Source organism: Homo sapiens, chromosome 5 (genome assembly GCF_000001405.40).
Source record: "Homo sapiens chromosome 5, GRCh38.p14 Primary Assembly".
Taxonomy (NCBI): domain Eukaryota; kingdom Metazoa; phylum Chordata; class Mammalia; order Primates; family Hominidae; genus Homo; species Homo sapiens.
The window spans coordinates 114,488,650-114,505,200 of record NC_000005.10 but is presented as its reverse complement, the minus strand read 5'-3'; the positions used below and the strand labels follow the sequence as shown (position 1 = coordinate 114,505,200).

Here is a 16,551-nt window from a genome sequence, read left to right as displayed (position 1 = left end):
AATACATGTTTATGTCCCCAGGTCTTTATAGTCTGGCCTGGGATTGCAGGGATAATTTGGCACAATAATTCCTCTCCTGAAATTCCCATTTGAGGGGTGTTTTACTACGCTTTATTTAAAATGTTTGAAGAGAATAACATCAAGATACATGTTCCTAAGTTTCACTGTGTGTGATATGCAAGATCCTTGCAAACGCTAGGCTGAAAGCACAGGTTCCTCTTGCCTGGAGCCTTGAGAGGAATCTTCACTAGAGGTCTGAAAAGACTGTGAGAAATATGAGAGTGCTATTTAATAGTATTCTGATTATGAAGTAATATGGCAATAGAAAAACACTTTGCACTTGGTCCAAGTGTCTTGGCGCTCGCTCGCGCGCGCTCGCTCTCTCTCTCTCTCTATCTCACGCAGTGTCTCTCTCTCTCTCTCTGCAAGTGACACCAAATAGGGAAGTGTTTTGATGTTTCTCTCTCCTCCGATAATGAGTGTCCTGGTAGCTTCATTTGCTGGCAAATAGAGACTGATCTTCTGGGAGCAGTAGACACAGACCTTGTCTCACTTGCTAACAAAGTTTGTGAGTTTTGTCTTTCTCTCAGGAAAGGGAAACACCATCTATTACTTATTTATTTTTCAGTCTTAAAAAGGAAATTTGAGAATTTTCCAAAGCAGGTATATGCATTTTAAATTTTAATAGGTGGTCTTAAATAGCTTTGAACCAGTTTACGAATATTCAGACTAGTAGTATATGAGAAACCTAGTTCCCCTTACCTATTCCGTACTAATGTGTGTTATACTGTTAACACTTTGTCTACTGGGAAAAAATAATGCCTTATTGGTGTCTTACTGCACATTTCTCTTATTATCAGTAGGTTTGGTATTCTTCACATGTTTATTGCCTCTTTTGTGAGTAGGCTGTAGAAATCCTTTACTTTGCTGTTTTCCTACCAGATTTTTGTCTTTTACTTATGGATAGATGGATAGTCCATACAGAGAGATAGAGATCTATCTTTATCTATCTATCTGTCTATCTATCTATCTATCTATCTATCTATCTATCTATCTAATACTATTATATCCATATCCATCTACATGTGTATATTCTGAATAAAAATGCCTTTTTGTCATATAGTATTGTAAACATTTTTCTCCTATAATTTTACCTTATATCAGAAACTTTCTAATTTTGCCAAAAGCAAATGTTTAAATTTTTTCCTTTATGACTTTTGCTTTTTCTGTCTTGTGTGAGAAGGTCTCACATACTGTAAAGTCATAAAAAAAATCCTCCTGAACTGTGTGTGTGCGTGCATGTGTGTGTGTCAGGCTTGGATCTTGATCATCTGGGTGTAGAGTAACAGTGTGAAGTTTAGCAGTGTGAAGGGGCACTGGCTGGGGCTCTGGCACAGTGTTGAACAGTAGTGATGATGCTGGGCATCCTCCTTCTTGTCAGTAAGGAGGCTATGTCTAGAGTTTTGCTGTTACTTCGTATCTTGCAGATATGCTTTATCAAATTAAATAAGTTCCTCTATCTTATTAGTTTACTACAAATATTTTTTGAATGAGTGTTGAATCTTATCAGATGTAGCTTTAGTATTGACTGAAGTAATTATATGATTGTCTTTACTCTGTTACATGCTGTGATTATATTATTAGGGTTTAATATTTTTGAAAGGCTGATTGAACTTTCTTGGTCATGCTGTATTATTGTCTTAATATAGCACTGGATATGGTTTTCTAATATTATATTGAGGATTCTTACACGCAACTTTCGATGTCGATTGGTTTGTAGCTTTATCTTACGTTTTCCTTGCCTAGTTATGACTTTAGGGTCATATACTTAGTAAAATAAGTTGGCTAACTTTATGTTATTTAATTCTCAGGGAGATTTTATATAAAATGCAAAGTATTCTTTCAAAGCAACTGGTATGAGTGCTTTTTGACTTGTTATATTTTTGACTACATTTCTATTTCTTTTATGGTTATTTTTCTATTCATATTTCTACTAGTTCTTGGGCCAATTTTGGTAATGGTTTTTGAAAAACTATATTTTTGGTCTATTACCTTTTGATCTGTATAGGCTGCAGAGATCTTCAAGTCTCCCACACAATTATGCTTTTCCTTTTATTTCTGAGAGTTTTAACTTATATGTGTTATTTAGTGCATACACTTCGTGCAGCTTTCTCTTCAGTATCAGTTGAATGTTTATCAGTGTAACATGGCATCTTTTTGTGATTTCATACTTTTCATTTGATTTGCTTTAGTCTGAATGAACATTGCTACCACTTTTTTGTTTGGACCAGCCTGAATTCTCCCCTGGAACTTGGGTTTTAGTTTGACCTGCCATTTTATTTTACATTTCTTTCATAAAAAGCATATATATTTATTTTATTTTTAACCCAAGCTTGTATTTTCTATCCTTTAAATGGGTGAGTTAAACTATTGGTACTTGTTGTTAGGCTACTAGGTTTCATCTTCTTGCTTTGTGCTTTCTCACTTTTTTATTTTTTATGCTTTCTTGCCTTTTTTGTCTTTCCAAAATAGTTTTTACTTACAGTTTTTAAATTATCAAAGTCAAGAATAAGAGCGTGTCATTACCTTTATTCTCCTATGTATGTAAATAAGTTTTCATTAAATGCCTTTGCAAAGGGGTTTTTTCCCTCTAAATATTTAATCATTTAAGTTATTTAGCAATATTCCGCTTTTTGCTAATTTTCAAGTCCTCTCTATTATTTATACAGAAGAAATATTCTCTTACTGTGGCTTTTTCTAAAAGAGAGAGGGGATAGGAATCTCATGAAGATACAAAGGATTCCCCACTTGGGCTGCTTCACATTTACTAGGAAATGTCCACCTAATATTTTTATTCCCCACAGCAACCTGTTTTAAGACCTTTGCTATCAGCGATCCCTGTCAAAGACACTTATAATTTTCAAACTCCCTTAAAATGTTTCAGAACACGTATAAATAGGTTTTTAGAAAAATAAAGGGAAAAGCTCCTTACGCAATCATATTTAAGTGATGCCAGTATTTCTTCATAGTATATAACTTCCTCCTATAAACTCAAAAATAAAACTGTTGGTTAATTTAAAGTGCTTTTATCTATTCATTGTTAGTTTCCTCTCTGAGGCTGTGTGATCTTATCCAACAGAAAGACAGGCTAATTTTAGCCTTGCATTCCCAAAGCCCACAAAAATATGAATGTTCAACCTAACAATTCCATTTAAGCAATAAGACAAAAGTGGGAGGAAATGAGATAGAGGAAGAATTAGGTTCATGTACAACATGGAATTGTGCACATTTTATATGTAGAACCTGAAGGCCTACCCAGAATAGGCCTGTCTCTTCAGGTTCTACATATAAAATGTGCTTGAGCATGTGGGTTCACTCCAGCCCACTCTGAAGGGATGGTAGATGGTACAGGTATTATTAGGCAAAATAATGTAGACTTAGCATATTATGGCCAGAAGGATTTTGGTACACATTATGCCAAATATTTTCTTACCAAAGCCATTTTGATTTTTCCTCTACAGTGAAGATATAGTTTGGACTTCATCTTAGTATCTTGTATCATCCCTCATCCAACCACCTAAGGAGGTCTGGTGGCCACAGTCTCTTCAGCAGGGGAGGTGATGGGCCTGGATGGCTGAGGGTTCATTGCCTGACCCAGCTTCAGCAGAGGTAACAGGTGGCATCACCTCCAAATGTGGGCGCAACACTGAGTGCGTTCTGTGATCTGTTGGATTCTTTCTTTTATGACTCAGACCCACATAATCTCCCACTGGGCAGGTGTACTTTTCCTTTCAGCTGAACCAGTTCAGAGTCTGCAAATATATATATATTTTTTACCTTAGGAGAGGACACTGCATATTCACTGTCCTCAAATATTTTTATAAGTGACAGGATGGACAAATGAGAAATATTATCTTGTTTATAGGCTTCTTTATTTGGGAGTGGGGGGCAGGGAAGGAAACCCCAGGGAAATTGATAATTTAAGTTTTTGAGAAAGGAACTTATTTCCTTTAACTCATTTTAGAAATAGATACTCCCTCCAGTATTTTCATCTGTAAAATGGAAATAAACATAGGGCTGATGCAGGAATTAAAGGATTAAATGAGACCTGTCTCCAACAGAGATGAAAAGAGTTGGGTTATGGAGAGAGACTGCTTTCCTAAGAGGCGCAGGGAAAGCAAGTTATTAACAGAGTAGAAAAACTCGAACAAAGTGTCTCTCTGTTCTGCTCTGCTTGGCCACAATCTGCTGACCACAGCCTCCCTTAGACACAACTTTTAGCTGGACCTAAGGTTACGTAAGTGTCTAATATAGTACTCCTGACACTGTAGCCCTAGTAAGTCTTCCTCCTCCCTCCCTTCCTTCCTTCCTTCCGTCCTTTCCTTCTTCCTCTTCCTCCTTTTCTTTTCCTCCTCCTCTCCTTTCTTTCCTCTCTCTCACTCACTCTCTTGCTCTTGCTTTCTGCGATGGGGTGCTGTATTTCTTAGGCTGGTCTCAAACTTGTGGCCTCAAGCTATCCTCTTGCCTCACCCTCCTGAGTAGCTGGGACTATAGGCTACATACCACTGAGCCCAGCCATAGTAATTTCTCATCAATTGAGTAGCAGCCTCCACTCCATACTACCACTTAGGGAGCACGGGCCTTGGGGCTGAGGAAACCATAACTGGAGAAAAAGGCATTTTCTCGGGGGAACAAATTCTAAGTATTTCTAAAAATACCTGGGAAACTATAATCTATGTTTTCTATTTCTGGGTTCGCTGACTCGTGACATATTTAACAGAAGAACTAGAGAGCAGCATTGACAGGGCATTTTTTTCCTTCCCTAATCTAACAAACTGAAAAAGATCATGTTCATCAGGGCTGTAGCAGTAGTGACAGTGAGATGGAGAGAAGTCCTTTGTATCATACCGCTTATGGCAGGGTCTTCCAGGTCTCTCAACATCTCCTAGGATTTTATTTATCAAACAACCAGTTTGATAAATTTTTTCTTAGTGGATTGCTTGAAAATTCAGTTAAAATAGTGGTTCCCAACCTCTTTGGCACCAGGGACCAGTTTCGTGGAAGGCAGTTCTTCCTTGGACTGGGGGTTGTGGGGCGATAGTTTTGGGATGATTCAAGTGCATTACATTTATTGTGCACTTTATTTCTATTATTACATTGTAATATATAATGAAATAACTCACCATAATGTAGAATCAGTAGGAGCCCTGAGCTTGTTTTCTGCAATGAGAAGGGCCCATCTGAGGCTGATGGAAGACAGTGACAGATCATCAGGCATTAAGTTCTCATAAGGAGCTCGCAACCTAGATCCTTCACATGCGCAATCGCAATAGGGTTCGTGCTTCTATGAGAATCTAATGCTGCCACTGATCTGACAGGAGGCAGAGCTCAGGTGGTAATGAGAGCCATGCAGAGTGGCTGTAAATACAGATTAAGCTTCACTTGCTGTACCATCGCTCACCTCCTGCTGTGCAGCCCAGTTCCTAACTGGCCAGGCCCCCAGGGTTGGGGTCCCCAAGTTAAAACACATAAATGGCATCAGGGTGTGTTACACAGACTAGGAGCAGTGGGTGGAGGCTCAGGACCTACAGGGATGGGTTTGAAAAAGTAAATGAGCCCTTTGGTCCAACTCTCAGGTGACCTTCCCAGCACTCCCTAAACAAACGCCCTCTACTTTCCTGGATCATATTTATGAACAGATTTTGTGGAATTCCAAGAAGCAGAGAGGGAGTATGTCAGAATCACAAAAAGGATACATACATATTGATTTTCTAGGTTATATTAAACAGTGATAGGATAAGGAAATGGATATGCTAATCCGGATTCCAGTAACTTGCTTCAAGAATGAACTAGACAAGTGAGGGGGGAGAATATATATATATATATACAGTCGGGTGCTAAAAGTTAGAAGATAAGCAGATAATGGAGGTGTTTAATATTTGCTGCCTTTTGCTGTAAGTAGTAATACAAGTAACTACAATCATTTAATGAAATAGATGCCAGGATTTGCAGACCGCCCTGCCCCTCCAATATCTGTGTCTTTTTAGGCTCATTTTACAAATGAGAAAACAAAAGTCTCCGAGAATCAATGGTGTTCAGGTGCACAGAGCTAGTGAGCGGCAGGGCTAAGTTCCACACCCAAGTCTGACTCCTTCCACTTTGCCATGCTATTTCTCAAAACTGAGCAAAGCTCAAAAATAGGAGGACTGTATTATTTAATCCATTGCTCGATGCTCATATTAACCCTAACCCCTAGCTTTTTATCAGAATTCACAAATTCTGTTTTGGAGCATAATTACTTGATTACTGTAGATGTTTTGATGCAGAGACTCTTGGAAAACAAACAGAAAGGGAGGAGAAACTAGGGAGAAAGCACATGAAATTTCCAAAATTTAGTACCTGTTATGCATTTGGCTCATCCTCATTTCTGTAAGAGCACAGGGTCTTCTTTCTAGTGACTAACCTCGACACTGAGTATAAGTGGAGGAAATGAAGAAAATTATTGAGGAAGGTGGTGCCATTGTAATTTAAAATGATTTGCAGAAGCCAAATGGCTTGTGCTGGCTGTAGAGAAACAGACCAGGGTGTGGCAGGCTGAGATGAGACAAACAGAACTCAATCATTATTAGGAATTCTGAAAAGCAAAATGCAAGTAAGGGCATTTATCACCACAAGAGCAGTCCTCTAAGCAGCCCTCAGAGGACTCTGCCTAATGTTCAAAGCCATTTGGGAGGAGACTTGGTAGCTCTGCCTAAAGTGGGGTTGATTCAGCAAGTCACAGGCCAGAATGTCTATGTAACCGAGGGGTCCCCTCCTCCTTTTAAAACTGTGGTTATTTAGCATTTAAAAAATAGAAATAAAAGATTTAATATTTACCAGTTTTCATATACTCTGCATAGAATAGGAAATGTAAAATTGATTTTGAAGGATAACAGAGTAACTTATTCTAGAAGAGCTACAGTTAAAAAGAAGAGAATAAATGCAAGGCAAAGAAATATAAATTAAAATCTTTGTCTTCTCTCATCTTTGACAGAGAAGCAATACATTATTTTTTCCCTAGTCCCCTAGTGTTCTGGGGTGATAGTGTTCATTGATCTGTAAGATGATAAACTTCAGCTGCTACTCTGCCTTTTAGTCACAACAAAGGTAGAAGATACAAGAATTAACTACATAAATTGTAAGAACAAATTAATATTTTTTTCCAAAATTTCTCCTTACATCCAGTGTTTATAACAAATGCTTGATATATTCTTGCATGTAACCCAAAATACATAAAATGAGATTTTAATTTCATCCATGAAGTAGAAATCTTGATAAAGTAGGATCTTGATGTTCATTTAACCTGGCAGTATGTTTCTATAACCAGTGTTCTGTTTTTCTTCCACTTATTATCAAAATAAATAAATAAATAAAAAAAAATTCCAGGCCTCATTCTATCCAACACAGGCATATATAAGCCACATGAATGGGCTTCAGTTTCAGCCATTTTGGATAGATAGTAAATGGCAAGTGGTTCTCATGCAATCTAAAGCCATCAGTTTTATATCCTTGATATTGAAAGGAACTGTTTGGTTTTTTAATTAATTATGAAGAATGTTATGAATGTTATTTTATCCATTGGACTATGTAGGGTGGATCAAATATATCACTCCAGTTTGTGCTAAAGAAGGAAAAACATATTATACTAGCAACTTGCAATGTTGTAAGGCTGACACCAAAGGGTATGGTATCAAATGAAGTGGAGGGGGGGGGGACAAAAGCTTCTGAAACAGATTGCCCTGAAAATGGAGTATTTTTAGGTTTAGGCTGATACAAGCAGATTGCTTTCAGAGCTGTCCAAACGAAGCCTTATTTTTAAGACGCATTATCCCTACCACCATCAGCTTTCTTGTACACTCTTGGGAATAACACCACATGAGGAAATTCCGTATTGCTATCATCTCACACACGGTTCTTCTAAACCCAGTGGATTCTTAGAGCAAATTTGCAAACAGATAGGTTTGTAGCAATAACCACTCAGTTCTCTTTCACACAAACTGACCTTAACCATCCATGAAACAAGTGTCCTAAAACACGTGAAATTTACTAGATGCTATTGACATGTGTTAAATATGTACGTACAGACCAAGAGGAGATCACTTACTAGAGGATATGTTAGGAGTTAGGCTTATGTATATTCACTATGCTGTTGTATGCCAACATGTATCTATGAATATACACAGGTAGGCCCCAAACATTCAAAAAGTGCATGCTTGGCCTTTCATAATAAATAAAGGGAAAGATATGAAATAACTAGTTTAGAACTAAAATTCTGCACCATCTGTTTACAGACAGTGGTGTACCACTGGGTGTACCCAGTGGTGTAAACTGGGAATTAAAAAATTCTTGAAAGCATCTCTCCTCCTTATTTGTATATGTTCTGATAAAAGACTTTCTACATTTTGAAAAAAATTGAATTAAAAATGAGACACTGCAAACAAAAAAATAATAAGCTATGCTGGTTCAAATGATTGATGCAAATAATTCATAACAAGAGAAAAATCTTAGGAGTAGGGTATAGAGGAATTGAAAGTCTTTTTTTCCAACCAGCCAAACTTTTGGCTATCAAAATTATCAGTGTGCATCAGATGATAATCCGCTATTTTACCTTGAAAATAATATGAGAAGTGAAGCTTTAGAAATGTCAAGTGACCAAACGAGTATGTGCAGAAATTAACTTTTTTTATTATATATCATATAATGTAGTAGTAAAGTTTGTTTGAAGTGCATGAATAAAAAGTTAGTGAAATTACAGGAGGAACAATCTATATAGCAATAATAGGTGCATTCCCTGTGCATCTGAAAGAAAAAAAAAGAGTTTTCACTCATTTTGGCCTAAAACTTAGTGTTCAGGTTCCCAGGATTCTGACATCAGAACCCGGATAACGCTGATTAGAACCATAGGGGCTTTACAATAAAAGCTAAAATATTGACCATATGATGGCAAAAAGTCTTATTTTGTGGTTAACTTATTCTCTTCTAGCTACTCTCTGATGAAGTTGGTGGTGCTGTGGAAGAGGACCGCCGCCTCCTGGACGAGGACCGGGACCGCTCAGCATTGTAAGTGACGTGCTTGTCGTAGCTCTCCATCTGAGCCTCAATGAAATCTCTCTGCTGCTGCCTGATGGTCTGGCTTATGAGCCCAGGGAGGGCGTGGATGCTACCAATCAAAGTCTCTAGTTTTGTTTCCAGGGTAACAATCCTCTTCTCGAAGTCTTCACTCCTTTCGTTTAAGTCAGAAATCATATCATACATGATGTTCTGGGTCTGAAAAACAGGATTGAGAAGAAGGTTAATTATACTTGCCCTGAACACAAACTGTCCACCTCTCAGAGGTTTAGCTCTGGTCTCTTGCTGGTGGCATTCAGTGTAACAGGGGTGTCAGCTAACTGAACAGCTCATCTTGCAAAGCCAACTCATTGTATGTGTTCAATGCCAGGATTTATAATCGAAATATAAGATCTTTGGTTCAGTTGCAGAAAATGTGGAGCAGGTACTGCTACTGGTGGCATGCCCATTGATTTTAGGTGGTATCAGGATAGACAAAAACATTTCAATTGAATATTTATATATGTATTTTAAAGGTTGTCACAAAGGTTAGTACATCAAATTCATTTTGCAACATGTTTGTTAATTAGGGCAAGGGTAATTTTTAAAAAATGGGCAGAGGCAAAGAACAATAAATAATACAGAGGGATAAATAATAATACAGATGGCATTGGGATGTAGCAGAAATGTTGAGGGTAGAATATAAATGAAGTTTAGGATTAACTGGTTTGATAATTTTGTAATTTAAAGCAATAAATTCCTAAAGATTGTTTGTTATCCTTTGTTCCAAATTACAGGCCTCTCTCCATTGGGTCAAATGGAATTTTTACAGATAACCCATTGAGAGAATATTAGTTAAGGGAGATACTGAAGTTACCAGTCTACCTTGTTGGCCATGGCTCTGACCTCCTGGCTATGGCTTAATCAAAGCTAAGTGGTTAAAACAGGAAAATGTTTCTGGATTCCTAGTGAACCTTGAAATTGATTGTCTTGATCACAGGGTATCCATAACTCTGATTTCTAGGTATATTTCCTGAGTAGCCAAGAGACAAAGAGAGAGGACTGATCAGCTCAGAGCTAGACAGGGAAAAGGCTGGCAAAGAGGGAGGAAAAGGTTTTAATCTTAGTTTAGTGCAGACTTTCCCAAGTCTGAGATCCCTTTATTTAAGCCGTCCCTCCTACTGCATTTCCCTTCTATCATATGCTCTTCTTCTGCTTAACAATCTTTTAAAGATGGTAAATGAACTGATAAGGGAGTTATTATTCAGAATATAGGCACCTTGTTTCAGTTTGACCAGAGACAGAGTGCATACACTTAATTTTACTACATAGTCTTGAGAATATGTGAACAGCATCCATTCATTTAAGAAAATACTGAGCCTTTATGGTATGTACAGTCCCGTGGTCATAATAAGTACATTAATAAAGAAACAGCATCTTGCCTCACAGTGGTACTCTTGAAGTAAAATTACATCTCCACATCATATTTCAATGTGGTCTGTTCATTTTTTCATAAAAATACCCATTAAAAATCATTTAACCTAGGAGTGATGGAGCTTGCCCTATCTTTTTTTCATATGTCCAAGTAACAGCCACATTTATACACGTTAATCGAGGATGTCCTCATACTTTTTATATGTGTGCTGTCCAGTTTATATGCATGATATATGCTCTCCTAGGGTAAGTCATTAAATACTTACTGTCTTCAACATCTAGTATGTGTTACTGCTATACATTAAAATGAATGTAATTTAGATGCATTATTTAATGAGACTAGGACAAATACTTGTAATTTTTATGGATTATACTTGAGGCTTTAGCAAAGTCATGTCTGATTTATCAAACAAAAAAAAACAGTTTGTAAGATGCAACTGAGAGTTGCCTCTTTCAAAGCATTTGGGTAAAAGGCTGAACAATTATATAAATGCTATTCTAATACCACCTTTAGAATTCACCCAGGAAAATGCAATGTTTTGATTATTGACAAATATTTATGTTTTAAGAATGGGTTTTATGTGGGGAGAAACAACTAAACATTGATCAGATAAATATTATAAATAAGGTAGAATAATTTGGAGACTGTTAATGTACTTTTTAAAAAGTGGTATGATTTTGAAATAATGAAATGGAGAAAGAACCATAAAAAAGTGATCACTTTAGGGTGATAACTTTCATTCTAGGATGTAATTTCTGGTATCTTTTATTTTTATTTCAACTTTACATTCTTTTGAGTTTGCTTAAAATACATAGGACAAAATTTAATTGATGAGTCCTATTCATTCCTGAATATCACAGTCACACCTAGGATGCAGTTCTGCTCTCATTGAGATGAGATTTACATGCAAATAAAAATCCCGCATGTATTGTCTCCTATTCCACTTAAGCTTCTTATGGTACTTCCAAATCACTGTAACTAGGAATGTTTTCAGAATGGGGCTGAATAACGTAATAGGGAAAGAGTACATTAAATGAGAGTTACAGAAACATTCTTTTAAGTTGGACCATCATTTTAGGGTGCTTTGCTGGTTTGATTTATTAATTAGATTTGGGTTGGGATCCTCTTGAAACATTCATGATTAGTGACTGTGAAGTGGTTGATTTCAACAGATGCAACTAGGAGGGCTAAGCACCTCAGGCTTACCTTTGCCAAGTCCACCAAAGTGTTTGCTTGGTCATTCAGTTTCCTCTGCTCCATTTTTACACTTCTTAATCTAAAAGATAGAATCTGGTATCAGAAAGGTTCCCTTCTTCCTATGGCAATCTTATGCCTTCCAAAGAGCATGCACAAAATTGACAAGAGCAAATAACTGCATGGATAATGCCTTGAACATTTGGGGTAAGTCCAAACTGGTTATGTGTCTGGTACAATGAGAAGCATGCTTCCCCAACACCGCAAAAAAGAAAGGAGAGAGTGAGAGCAAGAGATGAGATGTCCTTAGGACAACTATTTACCAGGTAAAGTTGAATTCAGAAAGACTCATAAGGATTTAACCATATGAGAAAAAGCCAAAACATTCCTTAAAGCCCCAGTATCATGACACATAGACATAGGAAGAAATATGCAAAGCAACTGGAATTTCATTGATGTTGGAGCAATGAGCACCTTCCTATGCCTACATGATTAGATACAGGTATTAGCCCTGTTTAGTCCGAAATGGATTGGGTTAGGTATTTGAACCTGATGAAAACACAGTGATAAGTGAGATTCTTATTAACAAAAAAAAAAACTTTTATTCAACCAGCAGCAATATAACACAAAACACATAATTATTATCTTATTCTTCATTGTATTTCATTTAACTTTTATCTTGAACTGCCATTAAATTTGTAGGGAGGCCAGACCATTTCCTAGGAAAAATTCCCATTTTCAGTGTAGATAAAAGTCAGAGGACAATTATAGTATCTGGCAGATGGAATCTCTACTTGTAAGATTATGTTTAGCTACTGTTAAATATCATTGTATATACCTGATGAAGAGTCAATTAAGAGTCAAAAAACGGTATTAAAAAAACACTTGTAGGTAAGAACTCTGCTATTCTTTAACTTTATTTACTATATTATTTTTCAACAAATATTTATTCAGTGTTTACTATGTACCAAGAAAGATTTTCCAATAAGAGAAGTGTGGTTTATTGTTCCTTAAGCTAACAATTAAAAGCTTTTTCCCAAAAGAGAAGTAGGTTCTTCTAAACTATTTAATGAAAACAAACAAAAAGTCATGCCAATCTTATTTTGCTTTGATGACAAGTCATTTTACAAAGTATAGTTTTAATGCTAGAGAGAGAATTTTTTATTATTTTTCAATTGAAATGAAAGGTAATTATGTAGAAGGAATAAAAACTCACAGGGCAAGATTTTACTGCCAGGGAGATTTTGTAATACGTTCATAATGTTCAGTGATTTTGTTCCGAAACTAGGATATCCAATATGTCACCAAATCTGCTCTACAGTGAAGATGTAGTGCCTTCTGCCAGTAAGTTTAGCTGACACATACCTACAACACGATCTTTAACAATCTACAACAGTTTAAGGTTATAACTTCTCATTGTGACTATGTATTTATTAGAATGCTGGAACGAAGTTAATTGGCTCCTTTTTATGCTATTACAGAGATGGAATATGTCCTAGTCTAAAATTTACAAGCATGTATTTAGATCCAATATATTGTTGAGAAAGATTTCTCTCAGTAATTAATAGGGTTACAATTTTTGATGTGTGCCTTTGAAAAACAGGCAACTGCCCCCACCCTACACCCCCTAAAAAGAACACTTAGACATCCGTGGGTCATTACGCAGAAGTGTACTAAAGAAAGAGCAGTGTACAACAGTGGATTCCATCCTTACTCTAACTGGACCTTTAGTTTCCTCACATATGAAATGAAGTGTGTTAGATTAGAGAAATGTTTCTGCACTGCTGGATTCATACCAACAGAGGTATTCTAGATGCCTTTAAGTGATACTTAAGATGGAAAACAGTTAATCCTTTTAGTTCTCTTCTAATTCTTCATTACTGCAAGAAAAACATCATAGTCTGGTCCTACTCTGTCTTTATCTCCTAACACCTGCTTTTTTTTTTTTTTTCTTTTTTTAAAAAAAAAAAAAAAAGAAAAAGCAGAATCTCAGCTCAGAGCTTTCTGCAGGCAACAGCCTATGGCTAGAATTCAATATCGGTGTTTCAACTATCAATTGACGATTACCTTTACCTTTCTTCGTAATATTTTTTAATCCATTTGTATAAAAATGGATTAACATTTGTATAAAGGAATTTGTATAAAGTTTCATGTTCAAATTTAAGTAAGTTATAGTATTAGTGGCACAGAAATGACTGAAGTTTGGGCTCTGGACCAGATGCCTCCAGCAAGTAATGAGTACAGAGAAAGTCCTGAATTCTGTAAGTCAGGCTAGAAGGGCCAGTGGCAGTTTCTTAGCTTAAGTGGGTACTTCATCTTATAAACAACGGGGCCTAATTTACTTCTCTTGGATTACTATACTATGTCTGACAGTAGAATTTTGCCCATTTTATTTTCTACTAATCTGGAAAGCTGACATACAGTAGCCTTATTTGATTGGAATTCCTTTAGCTATCGGAACTTGAATCATCTTGTCTTGTTGTTTGTTTCTTATACTGCCTGTAATGTAGGAGAGCTGATAGAAAAAGCCTGCTTAAGCTGCAGCTGCCAGAATAAAAGGTAACATGCAGATGTGTATTACACTTTTCCCCCCAAAAAAGAAAAAGAAACATATGTTGATTTCTTCCTTGTGAACTTCACTTATCACAGGAAAATATCATGATTTTGGATCACATTTCCATAGCAGCAATCAGACTACTAAAATTCACAAATAAAGGATCTGCTGGGTGCATGCAGCCAGTAGAAAATTCTGCAAATGTTGAAAGGAGCGGCTCACACAACTTACTTCCGAGCTCTATTTTCATTTTGTTGAAATAAAAAGACAAAACAAAAGAAAAGAAACTGTAAAATATTCTGGAACAAAATAACACAATGTGGTGTTCAGTTGTGCACAAGGGGCTCGATTCATTAGCTGGAAGATCCTGTTATGGTTCTGCAGGATTTTGAAATATTGGCCAAAGAGAAACACTATCCAATTATCCTTCTTCATTGCTACTATACTTTCCCATCTGTAAGCACTCAGCTTCCTCCTGAATAAGAGTTCAGAAGGAAGAGCATGCATAAAGTCATCATGGCCTCTTGATATTTGATGTTCAAGTAAACAACAAGAAATATTTTTGCCTAATATGAATGTGATATGGTTAAAAGAACAATATTTGAAACAAAGGCATTGTAATTTTTTTGGGGGGGTACATCTTTTCCAAATTAGGACAACTCAGAAGCCTGGGGTTTCTGAAAGGCAGGTAATCCAACTCTCATGATATACAAATCAAGTAGATTGGATTTCTTGGTTCTGAAACAAATTCATGTTGGTCCATAGTTGAGATAAAAGAATGATAAACTTTAAAGGGAAAGTTGCTACCAGAAAAAGCGTTAAAAGTTAGAGAAAGAGAACACTTCACGACACTAAGTGACAATCTAAAAAGACAATTACTGAAAAGAGGGCACAGGCCTGGACAGTTCAGCATCCAACAGAGTAGAGAGGCTATGAAGTTTGGAAAAGAGAAACAGAGTTGAGATAGCATGGACTGGTAGAAGCAGAGAGCTGCTGAAAAAGTGCTCAGGATAAATCAGAGAGTAGGAGAGGCCAGGAGTGATCTATCGAATGAATTTTAACATTTTTCTTCAGCTAGTAAGGTCTGATTGTACCCAGTGCCGACAGATAAGGCCGAGGGTCTCACTGGATCTGCACAGTGGGCAATGGAAGCCTTGCCCTTAGGAATCGAGCCCTGTGTGCTTCCCCTATGACTTCACTCCCTAACTTCCAACACTAAGCTAAAATGAAAGGTAAGTATGCATGATTAGAATGATCTAGCCAAACAAAGCTTGCATGAATAAACGTACTCAGTTACACTTTTAGAAGTATAAATGTCCCCCACTGTAATGGAAACCCGGTAACCCCTAGATGAATTTATAAAGCAATTCAGAGCATTTCTGAGTTGCCTGAAGCTTATCTACTTTAGAAGTACACATTGCTACAGAAGAAACAGAATAAGAAATATCTGACAGAAGCAGAAAAATCACAAGTAGCTTCCTCTGTCACTCTATCCAAACACAATATGCTAAGAGACCCCGTGCAAGCGACTCCACAGTACCCACCCTTAAGAAAGGGCCGACATGCCTTGTAGGGTGCATTTGCAACTTGCTTAGGGACAGTTTTTAAACTTCCCCAAATACTTTTTTTCTAATGTTTTAATGTAAAAACGTAATAACCTAACGGCAAAGTTGAAAGCATTTTACGGTAAAAACCCCTAAATTCTCCCCCAGGCTTTTGAATGTGAATGTATTCTGAACATAATAGTCCAGAAGAGTCTTATATTACAAGATGTAATACAAATCCCCACTGCACATGGCTACAGAACCGTACTATAAAAACTATCACAGCATTTTCTTGGATTTGTTATTATATGAAAATTGATTAAAGGTAAATCACATGTAATTACCCATTTGATAGGTCTGACTGACAGGAAAGGACCCAGATAAGATCCTGGAGGCAATGGGATGTGTGGCTGCTCAACACAGACCGACCACACTTGCTCACTGCCGTGTCATCTCATACCCTTCCACCCTGGACATACATACCTTCTCACATGCACCAAGGTAAGGTTTCTTTTTAACATACTAAATATAGGTTAATACCAAAATATTAAAGGTAGAAAAAATGATTTTGCCATGCATGGTATGGCCTCTGGACCTCCTGTATGAATGTGTTGGGGTTACTGTGTAGTATGGTTTTAGCAGGGGAAGACCACTCTAATAGGAGAGTTGTGTGAGGTGAGTGCCTTGAGGAAGATGCCTGTTCCACAGGAAAATAGGTTAAGGAACACAGAGGCGAA

At 36.9% G+C, this 16,551-nt stretch overlaps 1 protein-coding gene and 1 long non-coding RNA gene across 9 annotated transcripts in view; one reads left to right on the top strand and one right to left on the bottom strand.

Annotated features, from left to right (window-relative positions):
• Positions 1–16,551, top strand: part of LOC101927078 (uncharacterized) — a 325,996-nt gene that overhangs the window by 268,213 nt on the left and 41,232 nt on the right. Inside the window, exons 4-5 of the long non-coding RNA NR_130785.1 lie at positions 9,023–9,099; positions 16,170–16,315. This is a non-coding gene — a long non-coding RNA (uncharacterized LOC101927078). The remainder of the gene's footprint in view (positions 1–9,022; positions 9,100–16,169; positions 16,316–16,551) is intronic.
• Positions 8,705–16,551, bottom strand: part of KCNN2 (potassium calcium-activated channel subfamily N member 2) — a 440,519-nt gene continuing 432,672 nt past the window's right edge. For all 8 annotated transcript variants that reach the window (NR_174097.1, NR_103458.2, XM_047417166.1 and 5 more), the window contains 2 exons: positions 11,729–11,798; positions 8,705–9,306 (listed from right to left, as the gene is read on the bottom strand). Coding sequence is in view for 6 of the 8 variants with exons in the window: in XM_047417166.1 (XP_047273122.1) it covers positions 9,019–9,306; positions 11,729–11,798 (358 nt within the window). In the remaining 2 variants the exon portion in view is untranslated. The remainder of the gene's footprint in view (positions 9,307–11,728; positions 11,799–16,551) is intronic.